We start from the raw sequence: 18,257 nt of genomic DNA, 5'->3' as shown, positions 1-18,257 counted from the left end.
CAGCAAGCCATGCACGATTTCTAATGATAATTGTGTTTATTGTGTACTTAGACTATAGCAGGTGCTCTTCTAAGTGCTTTATGTGGAAAAAGTGAGGTTATGACCTGAGTATTTCTCCCAAAGTTCATGTGTTGGAAACTGAATCCCCAGTGTAACAGTGTTGAGAGGTGGGACCTTTAAGAGGTGATGAGGTCATGCAGACTCTGCCCCCGTGAATGATACTGTTTTCATGAGAGCAGGTTAGTTATAAAAGTGAGTTGGGCTCCTCTTGCCCTCTCTCCTGTGTTCTCTTGCATGTGGTACCTTTCACCAAACACCAAATGGACTAAGACAACTACTTAATCATCACAACAAACTTATTGAGGAACCCTATTTTTACCAGCATTTATAAAATGGGAAAACTCAAACACAGAGGGATATGCAACCGCCGAAATTCACACGGTAAGTGGCGCAGATTTGATTTGACCTCAGGGTCTATACAGTAAATTATCACTTAAGAGGTAGATAGATTCCTGCAAACTGTGACTTTAAACAGCAAAAGGACTATAATGAAACCAATTTTCCCTTAGGCTAGTTGAAACAAACTAGAGTTAAATTCTTATGGCCTATTTCCGGTCACAAACTTCTAAATAATGACCCTAAACACTTCTAATATAAACCATTGTATCATGAGTGGCATGAGGTCAGACATAACGAAGTTCATGCACCTTTATGTCTTTCCACAGTGTTAGACTTTTAGTGATGCTATTTCAATCACGAAACTCCTAAGCTACAAGGAACTCCCAAGGGGGCGGTTCTCCATCGTACTTCCCCTTCCGTCTGTAGTCGGGCGGTTCTCCATCGTGCTTCCCTTCACTCTGCAGTCGGAGCCACAGGCACACAGGCTGAAGCCACTCCACAAGTCAGTCAACATAGCAAACCATACGTAGTAGTGTACTTAATATAAAAATGTTATAGATGAAACATTTCACAACAAAGTAACATTTAACATTGAGAGAAAAGGGATAAGAAAAAGGGTTATCAGTGCAGGGAGAGACGTGGACAAAATGAATGGCCTGTGCTGGTCTGGATGGTCCATCAGTCAAAAGTCTTTGATGTGGGCACAGCCTTCAGCAGCAGATGCTGGGTGCTTATCACAAATGACAGTGAGACATTGTCTGTTAAGATGGAGGTTCAAGCTGCTGAAGTCCTGCTCTTTTTGTGGCCACAGAGCCCTCTGGTGAGGACTGATAGCGGAGGAGTATGCCTGGTGATGTCCTTATCTGATTGGATGCAGTCTTTATCAACGCGGTGACCCATCTTTTCCCTGTTGGTATGATACGTTTTGAAATGTAAGATGGTGTCATCTTCTAAGCTGGAGTTACTTATGTCTAGGGTGCTCTAAACAATCCACCTCATGATTTTAGTAATCACAATGCAAACAATATTTGAGGAAGGGGTTACAAAAGTAAAAAATTACAAGTGGCCTTGGTAATTAATTTTCTCTTGGCAGCTTGTTTACAAACTTTGTTTTACAAAGGCTAGCAATGCAGTTTTTCAGTTTATAGTTGGCAAAGAAGATGACTGCAACGAAGATAACAAAGTTCTATAAATGTTCTCAAAGATTTTAGACCAATTCTGGAATCCAGTTTTTTAATATATTTATTAGTTTTCAAGCTAACCATGAGCTGTTACAAGAAGTGTGGCTAAAGGTCTTTTTGATCGTTTGCAAGAAGGTACATCTTCAGTGTAAGCCGTCTAGGTATTTTTCAAATGTGATTTTATGTGTTTAATATTGCTATTCTATGTGTTACCGTCTCAGTAGTGCATTTTAATTGTGCTAATTCTATATGGAATTTATCATGAGCCTGTTCAAGTTTCTTTGAGTTTTCTTGTTTGTCTTCGTCTGTGTGGTATCTTCCCAAGGTGCTTCTTCTTATGTTGGAGTGCCACAATGATGAACAAAAATCTCTACTTTTTGTTTCTTCCATATAGTGGTAAGTTTTGAAGTGTTTGTGAGGGTGATGTTTATGACATACATCAGTTTGACACATTCTAATTGCAAGTGTATGTTGTGGTGCTTTCGACTTGTGTGGTTATAATCAGGTTATAATTTTTCTCTGAGCACACTATCCAAGTGAAGTTTCCTAAGACTAGAGCCATTATGGGTATTTTTGTAATGCTGATAGGTAAGTAATCTAGTTTAGGTAGTATGTCCTGAAAGATATAGTATATAGTGTTTGACTGTTGGAATATTAATTATCTTTATATAAAATAACCATCAATAAATAGTGGCTTTTCTAAGGAAGTTAGTTGGAAATTATGTCTTTCATTTGTCTGTGGATTTGTCATTGTGCCAATATGCCAATAGTGAGTCTTCTCCTCTTAATTCACAAAGGTTGAATATACATTGCCCTGAATCGTCACATCCTGATGGTTTGGATGTATCCAGTTGAAATATAGCTGCTTTGTCCCAATTTTCTATGAATGATTTTCCCGATTGTATTGTGTTTCTTATATTGTTCCAAGTCTGAGCTACTAAAGTACTTATCTAGTCCACTGTGTTCGCCCTAGTTTTTCAGCATAAGGTTTCTTAATGTAAATATGTTGACTTTTCGATGTCTACCTTGTGATCAATATTGTAACTGAATTCCTTTTGATATTCTATAAGAACATGGGTATGAGTTATCATTGATTTATTTCATTAAGTGCCTGTGAAATTGATGACAGTATAGATGTGGTAGTTGACATGTAGGAATTAAGTTTATGTTTCAAATTAAATACGTCTGTTTTAACTTCCTGAATTTCTGCTTTTTGCGTTTCTGCAGTGACTAAGTTTGAAATCCAATTGTTGCGAACATTTATAGCAGATTTCTAAATGATATTTTTCTAGTGGTGGTAAGTTTGGTAAAATGAGCTGTATGTTATATCCCTGTCCCTCAAATTGTAGACATCGTGGTTAGATATTTGTGACTTTAAATTGTTAGTTTTCAGCCAGGCACGGTGGCTCACGCCTGTAATCCCAGCACTTTGGGAGGCCAAGGCAGCTGGATCACCTGAGGTCAGAAGTTCAAGACCAGCCTGGCTAACATGGTGAAACCCTGTCTCTACTAAAAATACAAAATTAGCCGTGCATGGTGGTGTGCATCTGTAATCCCAGCTACTTGGGAGGCTGAGGCAGGAGAATCGCGTGAACCGAAGAGGAGGAGGTTGCAGTGAGTTGAGATCACACCATTGCACTCCAGCCTGGGCAACAAAGTGAGACTCTGTCTCCAAAAAAAAAAAAAATGTTTAGTTTTTGAAAAATATTTTGACTCTCCTAGGTGTTGATTTGTAAATTAATCTTAAGGGTTAATTAGCATGGGTTCAAATACATTTGATTTTAGTAATTTAGGTGGAGGTTTTATTGTCCCCTTGGTCCACTGTGGTTTCTAGTGGTGTGTCTTTTAGTGACACATGTCATTCCAGCATCCTGTCTCAATTATGCATGGTTCAGTGTCCCAAGGTTTAACATAGCTTTTCCAAAAGAGCTGACTTTAGATATAAATTTACATAAATGGGAGTCTAGTCTGGTTATATTTTTGTAAATAGGGTGTTGGGCCGACCATGTAACCATATTCTATGATTCGTGGAATGGCTGGATAATAGAGAAAAAGGAATTTGACATACCTGCATCTATTTTTGTGACTTTTCCCACATTTATTTTGGTTCCTACTGTTTCCCACCAGTCAATTAATTGAAACTGTATGTTGTCTCTATCTACATCTTCAAAATTTCAGTGGGCACAATAGAAAAATAACTTGATCTCATACATATTTGGTTTTATAGGTAAATTTGTCTAATATGATCATGTTTCTTGGATCATCTTGTGTAAAGAATGTGCTAATAATCTCTGTTGTTTTGTATGTGGGTGTAAATGGTCCAAGTACTAGTGGTGAGTTAGATAACAGCAGATTGTAGGTATCTGGTCTGTGACTACCTGTAAATATTAACTATCCCATTTTATTTGTTGTCCTTTATCAAAAATACTTATCTCCAGTGGTATCCAGGACCATAATGGGTTTCTGGAAGATGCTGACATCCAGCAATCAGTAGATTTAGTAGGGATTTTGTGTAATTGTGACTCTTCTCTTTTTCCTGTAGTCCAATATGTATTTTGTGTCTGTTGGCCAGAATGCACTATTGAGGGATAGTCTTGTAAATTAGTCTAGTACTCACTTTGTAAGGTACAATATTTGCATCATATTTTCCCTTTTCTTTTATGACCATTAAAGTCAGTTGATTAAGATGAGACTGAGGGTTGCTCTTATGGAGTCTGTCCTTTTGATTTAAATGAAAACATACCAGGTTAAGAGTTTGTTGGAATATACTCATTTGGTCTAAGGTTTTTCATCCTCTTTTTATAGTTCATTAAGTCTCTCTAGATTTCCTGCCATGGGATTATAGGTAGGTGGAAATTGCACTGTATTATATCTCACTGATCTGTCAATGCTTTTGTAGCCCTTGATGCAAAATGATTTCGCTGATCACTTTCAATTACTTTAGGTGTTTTGTAGTGAGCCACCCAATTTTCTAAGGCTGAGATGGTATATTTGTCAGATGGATGTCTGCCTACTATTGCTATGACAATCCATGTACATATACATTCACAATTGTTACTGCATATTTTTATTGGTAGTGGTGCTTTAATGGTCCTATAAATTCTGTCGGCAAAAGGCATTGGGTTTGTATGTATCTTTTTGTTTAGTATTTCTATATTCATCTAGGTAGTTTTACATTGCTCACAATTAGCTATAGGCTTTTTAACTTGGTGCCATATCACCTTTTGATTTCTGTCTGATAGCCACCCGTACAGTGAGTATATGCCCAATTGTTCTTTTTGCTTATGTAATTATAGGAGTATTTGATTACAAGCTGCTTCTGGTATCTGTTTAAAGTCATCTCCCTGTTTCATTAAAGCTACTGAGGGTACTTCTAGTATCTCCCATTCATTGTCTGATTTTCTCCTGAATTGTAGAGATGGTAATGAATGTCTCCATGAGTTGTCTGAATTTCCCTGTAGTTTTAATTTGGGTATGTTTTGTTTGTCAGTGGTTATGTTCCTTGTTAGTGCATCTACCTATTATATTTTGTCATCTCTGAATAATCTTTTTGGTGTGCTGATACATGTTTCACAAATATCTTAATTCTGTTTGATAATTCAGATATCTCCTCCCAGTAATATTTGTACCATATGTCTTCACTATTAATTTTGAAATTATTTCGTTTCCATTTATATGACCATAGGGCTATGCCACTTGCAACTATCCATGAATCTATAAAATGTAAATTTTCTTTTGATTTTCTAATACTGAGTGTCTGATGTGGAACAACTGCAATCAATTCTGTATGCTGTGCAGAGAGTGATTTGCCTGATGTCTTCGGGATTTTTTGGTCCTTGGGTCTGAGTGCTGCTGCTGTCTGTTGGGTCTGGCCTTGGGTCGTGGCAGCTGATCCATCTATAAACAAGGTATTATTCTAGACATTAGACCAGACTGGGCCCATCTACCTGGATTGGCATGGATTGTTCTTGTCCTCAGAATAAATTCCGGCGAGTCTATTTCAGTCTTGTGAATGTCCTTGGTGAGGAGGCCTGGTTGACCCTTAAAGCCTGGATGTACCATTACCATGTGAGCAGCTTTAGATCAATTTGGATACCTGTCAGTTCTTCAGAACTCAATTTTATCCAGTGAAGACAAGGCTTATGGCATCTTATTGTAATGCTGTTGCCAGTCAGAGGCTCAGTATTTTCGAGGCTTCCTGTGTAAGCCACATGTGTTTTTCAAATGGGATGTATTTGTTATTAGAGTATGGAAATTTTATTGTCCAAAATTCGACAAGTAGGATGGATTTAGTATCTGGTTTTTCTGTCCATATTGACCATGTTCCATATTTATCACTCATTAGAATTTGCAACCTAATTTGTGAATCTGGAGATGGATAATGCACTATCTGGGACATAGTGATGTACCTTTGAGTATTTCAAGTGCTAGTTTTTGTTCTTGTCCAAATGTGAAGTCTTGGAATTCTCTAGTTATGTTATCTATTGGTTTCAGGATGATGTTTAAGTAAGGCATATGTTGTCTCCAATATCCGGATAAACCTATTAGTCTTTGTCCTTCCTGTTTTTTGATGCTTTAAGGGCTTTTCTTTTATCTATCACTGTGGTCGGGATTTTTCTCCCTTCTCGTGAACATTGTACTCATGAAAATTTACAGCTGGTGTCTGGGCCTGTGGTTTTATCTATATTAATAGTTCATCCCAGTGATCTTAAGCGTGTTATTAAGGGAGGTTTTTAGAAAAGTTTTTCCTGGTTCTTGTTTATCATTATAATGTCATCTATGTATGATACTATTTGAGATGTATATTTGGACTGGTCTATGTGTGATAATAAAATGGAAGAGCTGGCCAGGTGTGGTGGCTCATGCCTGTAATCCCAGCTCTTTGGGAGGCCAAGGCAGGTGGATCACGAGATCAAGAGATCGAGAGCATGCTGGCTAACACAGTGAAACACTGTCTCTACTAAAAATACAAAAAATTAGCCAGGCACAAGCCTGTAGTCCCAACTACTTGGGAGGCTGAGGCGTGAGAATCGCTTGAACCCAGGAGGCGGAGGTTGCAGTGAGCCGCGATCATGCCACTGCACTCCAGCCGGGGTGACAGAGCGAGACTCCCTCTCAAAAAAAAAAAAAAAAAAAAAAAAAAAAAAGAAGAGCTATTCCTGAACTATTTAGACATCCCTGATGTAAACTTTTAAATCGATATCGTTTGCCTCCTCATTTGCCTCCTCAAGTAAAGGTGGTATATTCTTGGCTTGGTCTATTGGTATGCAAAGAAAATGTCCAACAGATTTATAATTACATAGTATTTGCCGTTATAGATCGTGATCTTATTGATGACTTCTGCATCTGGTAATACTTGGCATTTTAGGTGAGACTTTATTTAGATTTCTATAGTCAGTCATTAATTGATAGCTCCCATTTGGTTTTAGAACAGGCCATACTAAACTATTAAAGTTATTTGAAATTCCAATTTTAATATCTTCCTTGAGAAATTCTAGATTTTTGCTGTTATTTCTTTATGTCCTCCCTTTAATGATTAATTTTCAGTAGGGTATAGGCAGTGTTATGGGTTTCATTTTAATTTGTGCTAGATTAGAGAATTTTAGTTCCTTTAAGTTTTTTAATAGGCCACCACCGATTTCAAGGTATAGGTTTAGAGTTGTAGAGAAGTATAAAAGCAGAGATTGGGAAACCTTGAATTAATTTTCCTCCAAGTCCTTCTATATGGACATTTGTGTCAGAATGTCAGGAATTATATCTAAGAAGGCTTACTTGTGATATGGTTTCTAAAAGAAATGTGTATACCTATTTGTCAATTTGTATAGCTAATTGCACATATGGTTTGTTATCCCTGGATTTGATTGTTATAGCTTGTACTCAAGGGGGTTCCAGTTTTTTGATAAAAATTTTCTTGTAAAATTTCTTTATTGTTGCTGTTATTGTTTCTGAAGTTGTGGGTTTGGTCCTGGACCTCAAGAATGTCTTTGCCCATATATTTTAGTATCTAGCCGGTGGCCTTAGACAGCCTTATTGCCAGTTTGGTCCTTTTGTCCTTGGTTGCTAATTATTTTGCTTAGATTGACAATTGTTTTGTCTGGGTTGCTGACTCATCTGCCTTGATTTATTTTGCCAAGATGGCTTACGTCCATTTTGAGTGAACTCTGGGACTTGTTTGAAAAAAAAAAAAATATATATATATATATATATACGTGTTTGAAAATATATATATTTGTTTGAAAATATATATATACTATATATACACGTATATATATGTGTGTGTATATATATACGTATATATATATATTTTTTCAAACAAGTCCCAGAGTTGTTTGTATATATACATGTATACATATATGTATATATATACGTGTATGTATATACGTATACGTGTATGTATATATGTATACGTGTATGTATATATGTATACGTATATGTATATATGTATACTATATATATGTGTGTGTGTGTATATGTGTATATATATGTGTGTATATATATGTGTATATATGTGTGTGTGTGTGTGTGTGTGTATATATATATATATATATATATATATATATATATATATAAAAAATGGTGACTTCCTGAATTTATCTTTTGGTGTTTATATCAGGATTGTCATAAATATTACCTTATGGGTTCCTAACTCTGCAGAAAGTTTAAAAGTTTCTAGTATAATATATCTTGCAGGGTCATGTGTGCTTGAGAGAGCATTCATGTAGGAGACCTTCAGGTTTGGTGGTGCTCCTAATAGAAGTGCTCTTTTAATTTCATTTGTAGCTGGAATTTCAAGTGGAGTCGCATATTGGTTATATCTATCGTATACCATCCCTAGGATAGCTGACTTTTTTTTTGTATTCTTTTGTGCCTGTGTTAGATCATTCCACTTGAATCTGTCTCCTAATTTTGTTGGGTCTAAATATGAGTGGGCAGATTTCCAGGCTAATTGATTTAATCCCAGAGAGATAGGATGCTTCTTGGGTAGTTTTTTAGTTCTAATAGGCGATCATTTAGTAATGTGTTTTCTGCTAATGTAGGGATCTGATGCATTTTTGTGCCTGATAGTTCTGTGATGTTTGCTCCATAATCCCATAGATGGAGGAGCCAGTCTACATCTGTGGTCTGTCTTTAGCAAAAATCTGTTCTTATTTTTTGTAATTCTGCTCTGGCGTATTCTGCTTCCTCACTGATGTCCTGAGGTCTGCCATTTCCGTGATTATAATCTATAACTGTTTTCTAGTTACTATAGGTCTTGACACATATACCTCCACTGCAGGGTCATCATAATCTACTAAATTCTCTGAAATGGGACCCAGGTCCCCATTTGGTCCCAAGGGTCCTCCCTTAAAGTTACATCTGAAAGGAATTTTCCTTAAAATCTTATGAGCTATCTATTTGCCTTTCTTGGGATCCCTGTGTATCTATTAGATACTTTGCATTACAAGTACGGAAATTTCTTCTCTAGGGACTCTGGTAATTACGGGCTTAATATTTTAGGGGTCCCTCAAGTATGACAGTATATCCTCGTGGCATTCATCATACAGGAAGCCTTTTTTGACTTCCAACTCTGTTGGGTGCCTCAACACTAAGTAACGTATTTGGACAGTGAGCCCTCTATGACCATTCTTTCCTAGGGCCGACACATTATGCAATATTAGTGGCTACTCTGTTTAGTTTCTTAATATATAAATATTTCAGTTTCTCACCTTAACCAACCATATGAGTGGAGGTTATGCGATAATTCACTTTCCTTTCTTTCAGCCAAATGACAAGTTTGTTTTGACAACCACCATCTCATTGTTGAGACCCTGCTCAGTATGAGCCTTTCTGGCTCCACCAGCTTCTAGCTTGGCACCAACCAAGACCTTGTCAGCCTTCAGTCTACATGGCATGGGTACAGAAATCCTATCACCTAAGATTTCCCTAAGGAGCCGGGCTTTCAAGGTGAAGCAAGATTATGTACCTTTTTAGAGAGAGTGGCAGGTTGTTTTGCAAAACAGCTTGGTTTCTAATTTAAGTCTTAGTAGAGGCTTTGGCCTTAGGAATTTTCTTAATTTAGCTTTTATAGTCATGTGATTATAAATGCCAATTGATTTTAGTTTTGAAAATGTGTCTGTGGAGCAAAAGCACTGACTATGCCAATTATTGTGAGTGACAGAAGGTCAGAGATAACTAGGCCCATGCATGTTTTTGTCTTTCCACAATGGTCAGGCTTTATTAATCCTATTTAAATCATGAAAGCTACAAGTTCCATGGAGTTACCAAGGGAGCAATTCTCCTTAATCCGTCCTGTTCACTCAGTAGTCACAGCCACAGGCTCAAGCCACTCCACAAGTCGGTCAACATTGCAAACCATAAATAAATAGTATACTTAATCAATTTGTAAATGTCATAGACTAAACATATCACAACAAACAAAGTAACATTTAACATTAAGTAAAAGGGGACAGAAAAAGAGTTAATTTAACCAGTCCAGGGAGAGACGTGGACAAAAAGAGTATCCTGTCCTGGGTCTGGGTCATCCATCTGTCCATCAAGAGTCTGTGATGTAGGCAGAGCCTTCAGCAGCAGATACTAGGTGCTTATCACAAGTGACAGCAATATGGTGTCTGTTAACACAGTGGTTTTGAATTGGTGGCGTCCTGCTCTTTTTAAGGTCACAGAGTCCTCTGGTAAGGACTGTTAGTGGAAGAGTATACCTGGTTGTGTCCTTATCTGGCTGGATGTAGTCTTTATTGATTAGGTGAACCATCTTGTCCCTGTTGACATGATGCCTGTAGAAATGTAAGATGGAGTCTTTTTTCAAGATGTATTATAGTTACTTATCTCAAAGGTGCTCTATATAATAGGTTATTGGAAACTGCAACTAAAAGCAAAACAACTATAAGAAACCAATTTTTCTTTAGGCTAATTGACATCAACCAGAGTTAAATTTCCAGGGCATATTTGTGGTCACAAAAATATCACCAAATATCTAAATAATGACCTAAAATAGTTGTCATAATAAACATTAAAATAAATGTGAGCTATACATACATTTAAGAAAGATAAAACATGTAAAATAAGTATTTACCTGCTTACTCCAGTTCAGGGTCACAGGTGGCTAGAGCCCTTAAGGAACCAGACAGGACCCACACTGCCAGGATGCCAAAGCATGGCAGAGTGGCTCACACACACCCTAACTCACTCACACGGGGATCCTGGAGACTTGCTAGTTCACTAACGGACACAGCTTTGGGACATGGGAGGAACTCATAGTCCCCAGAGAAAACCCACACAGATGCAGGGAGAACATGCAGACTCCAGACAGACAGTAGCTCCTGGAGAGTGATGTTTTTCTCTCATCGACATGACAGCAAAATGAGAACCTGCTGCATAACCAGAGTCTGTGCTTCTAACCACTACACCCCTGCTGCCACCATGTTTATTTATTTATTATGTTATAGCATAAAATGCTTGAAAATTAAAGCCTATTCTTAGCCCTCTTTATCTCTCTTGAAAGGTCATTTAAAAACAAGTGCCAAATGTTTTATTTTTCTTTTTTATTGACATGACACATCTTATTAAAAACCAGGCACAATTAGTGGCTAATTTAATATATAAACTGGCTCTTTTACTAAATCTACAATTTGCTTGGTTGGTTGGTTGGTTTTTTCTTCTGCTCTGTTTTTTGACAGCTTTATTGAGGTATATGTTACATCCAAAAAACGTCATTTATTTTAAATGAACGATTTGAGAAGTGTTGAGGTGTTGTATGTGTTCATGTAACAATGACCACAATGAAGATATAGAATTTTACCAGTATCTTGAGTATTTCCCTCAAGCCCCTTTCCCAGAACCCTAGCTGTAATCGATCTGTTTTGATGTCATTTGCTTTTTCCAGAATGTCATCTAAATAAAATCATGTGTAGTATGTGTTACCTGAATTCTTTCACTTAGCATGATGTGTTGCAGTTGACCCAGACTGTTACACGTGTCAGTTGTTTGCTTCTTTTAATTGTGTGTGAAGTCCATATTATGCTTATCTCAACATTCCGTTAGGCATTCATCTGTTGATGGACATTTGGATTCTTTCCAATTTCTGGCTACTATGAATAACACTGTTAGCAACTTTTTTATACAGGGCTTTTTATAGATATGTATTTTCATTACTCTTGAGTAAATCTCTAAAACTGGACTCGTTAGGTCATAAGGAATTTTAGCTTGAATTTTACAGGTGACTGCTAATCTGTTTTCCAAAATGACTGTACAATTTTGCATTCCCGCAAGCAAAGTATGAGAATTTTAGTTACTCCATATCCTCACGAACAGATGCCTTTTTAATTTTAGCTAAAGTGGGTATATAGTGTTAGGATATTGTAGTGTTATTTTGAATCTCTCAGATGACTAGCGATTTTGAGCTTGTTGGCCATTCATATATCTTCTTCTGTAATGTAGTTGTTAAACTTTTTGACCCATTTATGGATTTTGTGTCTTCTTATGTTTTGGATAATTCACTGTTTCATTGTTTGGGTTTTTTGGTTTGCTTTTGTTTTTTGTTGGTTTATTGTGTTTGTTAAGGAAGATACTTAGAACACTGAATTACGATATTTTATCTTTCCTAACATATTCATTTAAAATCATAGAACATCTTTAAGAACTAGGTTTAGTTTTCTCCAATATCTTTTAATTTGTTGTGTTGACATTTCCATTTAATTCAAAATGTATTCTCATTTGCTCGATTTTTTTGTTGACCCATGAATTATTGGGATCATTTTTGTTTAATTTCAAAGTATTTTGAAAATTTTTGATACGCTTGCTTTATTATTTTTCATTGTAATTATGGTAGAGAATTGTAACGCATCTTGTTTTGTTGACACTTCTGTCTCAGCGTATTGTCTATCATAGTTAATATATGCCATCCACTTGAAAAGAATGTGTGCCTGTGGAGTGCCCCAAAATATTAAATAGGTCACATGATTAATAATGCTGTTCAGCGGTTACATGTTTTCACTGATATTTTAAATCGAGTTGTTATATGAATTTCCAAAACAGGGGTGTTAAGATGTTCAGGTATTTTGTGGGCTTGTATAATTTGTCCTTTAATTGTGTCCATTTTTCTACATGTATTTTGAAGCTCTCTTATTAGGTCACATACACATTTACAATTGATGCAGTTTTAAGGTGAATTGACAATTTTTTTCACTAGGAAATGTCCCACTTTTCTTAAGGTGATAATTATTTTTATACTAAAATCTATTTAGCAAAAGTTGTACTACACTTCTTAAGATTTCTTTGTTTGCATAGCATATATTTCTGAGACATTTGTTTTCAACTTCTGTCTTTCATTGTACTTAAGACATGTCTTCTTTTTATCCATTATGATAATCGGTGGCTTTTTATGAGAGTCTATTATAGCTTCATGTAACAATTATTATGGTAGCATGTTAGTATATGTTATTCTATCTGATGTTTCCTCTTATTTATTGACACATTTTAATGTTCATCTAAACATTTTTATTTTGTTATTTAGCAATTGTTCAAGTGATTCCTTAGTTCTGAGTTTATTCTATGCTACTTTTCATAAAATGTAGAAAGTTTTAAATCAGAAAAGTGAACTTATCCTCATCCTCATGTTTTATATCATGGTAGAAATCAGTAACTTCACATCTCTCATTATTTTTTTTTTAAATAGGCCTTTAGGTTTTCAAATATTTTTGCCCTCATTTTCTCTTTTCTGTCTGTATGCATTTGCTAGGCTGCCATAATAAAGTATCACAAAAAGATATGAGGATCATAAATAACAGAAATTTAGTTTCTCATAGTTTTGAAGGCTAGAAATCTATAATCATGAGATGAGCAGAACTGGTTTCTTCTCAAGACTCTGATGAAGAATCTGTTCAATGCCACTACCTTAGCTTTTGGTGGTTTCTGTTAATCTTTGACATTCCTTGAATAGTAGAAGCATCATCATGATCTCAGCCTTTATCTTCATGAACAATCTCCCTTTATGGATGTGAGTATCCAAATTTCCCCTTCTGATAAGACACCAGACATATGGAATTAAGAGTTCATCCTATTTTCACATTACCTCTTCTTAACTAATTACATCTGCAACAATACTATCTCCAAATAAGGTCACATTCTGAGGTACTAGGAGTTAGGACTTCAGCATACAGGTTTTGAAGGGACAAAATTCCATAAAACTCTCCATCCAGAAATCAAATCATGTGTGTATTAAACTATTTGATATTATCTGATGGTTATCTGGGCCTCTATTCACTTATTAAATTGTTTTCTAAGTAATAGTTTTAATTGCTGTATCTTCCAGTTCACTGCCTCCTTTATCACCATTCCTTGAGGTAACAGTTATATGTTTAAATTTTCAGTTATTGTTTATTTTTATCTCTGTAATTTCCATTTGTTAATTTTTATTGTTTCTATCGCTCCATTAATGTTTCCTATATTTTTGATCTTTGGAAACTTTTTTTTTTTTTACATTGAGAATCTTCTTTTTAGCAGTTTTAAAATCCTCATGTGCTAATGTTATCTGGTTTATCTCAGGGGTTTGGTCTCAGTTAATTTTTTAATATTGAAAATGGATCCCACATTATAAATTATTTGCATATTAGATCATTGTTGCAGTGTATCACGGACATTATTCATGTTACATTGTGGAGAATATGCATTTACTCATTAACTTTCTGATGTGTCATTTCTTTTGTTCTAGCAAACAGGTTGTTTGGATGCAAAATGTGCCTCTTTTTTGGGTAGCCACTCATGATTTTAGTTTTGATCGTTTAATTTTAGCTGAATGCATTCATTCTGGTCTGTAAGTGAATGGTTGAGTCGTCAGCCAGGTATGCAAGATGTTGTAATTTAGGTATCACTTGTCTGGCTCTTTAGTTGCCTGGACTTTGCCTTTTCTGTTCAGTGGTCGTAGTTGCCTGACATTCAATTTCTTGGTTTCTCAGGCCAACAATACTGAGTTTTCCACTGATATTCACTATTTGGTGCTAACTGTTCCTGCCTTTAGTCTAAACATAGCAAAAATGGGTGCAATCACTCTGTTATGCCCTCCTCTGCGTGTGAATGTCCTACCAAAATCTATGCCTTTTGTCCATTCTCCAGTGCCTTCAAGTATTTGCTTTTTAAATTAATAATTATAGAGTATATAGGTGTGTGTGGGTCAGTCCAGCAGTTTTTTTAGTCCACCTTTACCTAAAGGGAAAGTCCTGTCTGATTGTTTTTTTATTATTATTATTATACTTTAAGTCCTATGGTACCTGTGCACAACGTGCAGGTTTGTTACATCTGTATACATGCGCCATGTTGGTGTGCTGCACCCATTAACTCGTCGTTTACATTACGTATATCTCCTAATGCTATCCCTTTACCCTCCCCCCACCCCGTGACAGGCCCCGGTGTGTGATGTTCCCCTTCCTGTGTCCAACTGTTCTCATTGTTCAATTCCCACCTATGAGTGAGAACGTGTGGTGTTTAGTTTTTTGTCCTTGCGATAGTTTGCAGCCATTTCTTCACATTAGTGACCTTTAGGCATGTGAGGATTGCTACAAGTTTACCATGTGGATTGTAGTTTTAGAGCAATAATTAGAGAAGGGGGATTAGAAATATTATAGTAATTATAGTAGCAACAGCAGTAGTATCAGTAATCATAAAGTAGTGATCAGAGAATACTTTGGGAAGGCACTGTGCTAAATGTTGTTCATACACTCCTTCACTTAATCCTCACATTAATGTTGTACGTTAAATATGATTCTGGTAACTTACCCAAGGTCAGGCTGCTTCCAAGATACAGCCTTTGAAACCAAATCAGTTTGACTCAAAAGCCTGTGCACTTTACTTCTATATTCTGTGATTGCTTTTTGCTTATATTTATATCAATGCTAATAATATATCTATAATTATTACATGGCATATGATAAGACAGTGACTGGAAATGTTTCATAAATCAAAGGCTCACATCATCTATGTCTCATTTATAATAAAAAATTAAAGAATTTCAGAAGTGGTAAGAGAGAACTCTCCAGTGTTGACTAAAAGGAAAAAAAAAATGTTACTCTAGGCAAGTAACTTTCTTGAAATAGCTGAGTTTGGGATCTGCCTGAAGACCGGAATGATTTCAAAAGGAGCTCTCAGTTGGTTACACATTTTGAAGCAGGGTTCAGAAAGTGAATTTTAATTTTAATACCACATAGATCAGCATTTTCTTTCAACTTTTGTCTTTCAACATTTCTTTCAACTTTTTTCCTAATGTATCCCCCAAAATTCCAGAAAAAAATATTCAAAATAAACTATTATAAAATATTTATTAGCTGAATAACAAGTGCTCTAGTATTCAAGTTTTGAATTAAAGTTGTGGTTCATAAAAATTTGGGTAGTCTGATCAAAACTTGAATTAATATCAGAACCTCAGTGCGTGCAATAAGCGTATGGTTAAGGAAGAATCCATTGGCCAATTCCATCGAATCTAGTCATCCAAGGAAACAACTCTTGGATGTACTCTTAATACTTTCCGCCAATTTCATTTAGACAATTTGTTTACCTATAGTGGTCACCTATGCTACGAAGAAAGAAACATTCTTTTACTCTGTTTTAAGTAAACATTATGTTAATTATGAATTATTAGAATCAAATATGGAAAGGGGGAAAGCTATCTGTTACTAATTTTCATATATCCACTCTGCTTTAATCTGAGTGTCCAAAGGCACAGCATGTTCACAAAGAAATTCAGTATAAAATGATCAATACCTCATTGCTTTAAATTATTAGCGTATTTAAGTACCTGATTTATATTTATGTTATTATATCTTAATAGATTACATATGTACGTTTCAAAAATTAATCTATCAAATATATTTTATGAGTTACACAAAAATAAGCAACAGTTTCATGTTATTTTATGCATTTTAAACTTTCTAACATCATAAAGGAAACCAAATGCAAATTTCTAACTTTGTACCCAAGTCAAAGTAAGTGTCAAATATGCTAAAGGAATAAGCAGTTCAGAATGTTCCATCTAGCTTCTTGTGATGAAGTGTAAATGTCCTTAGGGTGGAGAAGAATCAGCAATAACAGTCAAGAGAAAGTAGAATAAAAATACCTGTCAAACAAAAACAAAAGCCCTAAGACTAAAAATATTTTAAATGGTGAATTGAAAGTTATTATAGATGTTGAATCAAGTATTCTCTCATTATTAAGATTTCTTCTCTGGAAACTTTAACTGGAGTTTTAAATACCAGTAGTATACAGTATTGAGGAAAAATGCAATTCTGAGTAAATAATCAGGTTTTAAACTAAATGATTCTTTTTTATCTTTAGCGAAGACACACACAAAGATTAAATGTTGAAGTTAACAATTAAAATTTCATAAAGAAATAGAATTCTAAACTTTCTCTGAAACATTTCTACACACATATACAAAACTTGAAACACATTTTTGAAGATGGATATATTATTTATATAATGAATAAATCTCTGATTTGACTTACTTTTCCTTTTCTTAATAGACTCAAGTTTATTTTTGAAACTATGTATTTAGAAGAGCCACGTTAATGATAGGATCCTGTGGCAAACAAAATCTGAGATGCTCTCATTTTTCCAACCCATTGGTGCTTATGCATTTTTATAATCCCTTCGCTTTAGTGTGGGAAAGATAGAATTTGCTTCTAACCACTAAAATATGGTAAAGTGCTGAGATGTCACTCCCATCATTATAGGACTTTATATGATATACTATCTTTCTAGCAGATTCACCATTGTGCTCTCCAGCTGGCTCTGAAGAAGCAAGCCACCACATTGCTCACTGCTCGTGGAGAGGAACACACGTGGAGGAACTGTGCATAGCCTCCAGGAGCTGAGTGTAGCTTCCAGGTGACAGTCAGGAAAAATCTAGAGCTCTCAGTCCTACTACCGAGGTAAGGAAATAAATTTTGCCAACAACCTGACCAAGCTTGCAAGTGGATTCTTCTCCAGGTAAGCCTCCAGATAAAAATGTGGCCTGGCTGATTCCAGAAGGCACCCTTCTTAGACCCTGAGTGGAAGAATGAGATAAATCATGCTGAGATGTTTGTTCAATAGAAATAGGTGAGAGAATAAAGATGTGTCTTTTTTTTTTTAAAGCCACTATGTTTGTAGTATATTTTACAGATAATTTATATAGCACTATCTTAAAATCATAAAAATTTATATTCTTTTTTTTATTATTATACTTTAAGTTTTAGGGTACATGTGCACATTGTGCAGGTTAGTTACATATGTATACATGTGCCATGCTGGTGCGCTGCACCCACTAACTCGTCATCTAGCATTAGGTATATCTCCCGATGCTATCCCTCCCCCCTCCCACCACCCCACAACAGTCCCCAGAGTGTGATGTTCCCCTTCCTGTGTCCATGTGACCTCATTGTTCAGTTCCCACCTATGAGTGAGAATATGCGGTGTTTGGTTTTTTGTTCTTGTGATAGTTTACTGAGAATGATGATTTCCAATTTCATCCATGTCCCTACAAAGGACATGAACTCATCATTTTTTATGGCTGCATAGTATTCCATGGTGTATATGTGCCACATTTTCTTAATCCAGTCTATCATTGTTGGACATTTGGGTTGGTTCCAAGTCTTTGCTATTGTGAATAATGCTGCAATAAACATACGTGTGCATGTGTCTTTATAGCAG

General features: G+C 35.8%; 1 long non-coding RNA gene across 2 annotated transcripts in view; it reads left to right on the top strand.

Annotated features, from left to right (window-relative positions):
• Positions 1–236: 236 nt before the first annotated feature.
• The window catches only part of LOC105377561 (uncharacterized), a 30,741-nt gene continuing 12,720 nt past the window's right edge, over positions 237–18,257 (top strand). Inside the window, exons 1-2 of one of the 2 annotated variants that reach the window (XR_939512.1) lie at positions 237–441; positions 17,331–17,497. This is a non-coding gene — a long non-coding RNA (uncharacterized LOC105377561). Of the gene's footprint in view, positions 442–9,359; positions 9,525–17,330; positions 17,498–18,257 lie in introns of those variants that run through there. The other variant, XR_002959839.1, reaches the window with a different exon arrangement.

This window comes from Homo sapiens, chromosome 4 (genome assembly GCF_000001405.40).
Source record: "Homo sapiens chromosome 4, GRCh38.p14 Primary Assembly".
Lineage (NCBI taxonomy): Eukaryota > Metazoa > Chordata > Mammalia > Primates > Hominidae > Homo > Homo sapiens.
The sequence above is the reverse complement of the archived record's forward strand: the minus strand, read 5'-3'. Positions and strand labels throughout refer to the sequence as shown.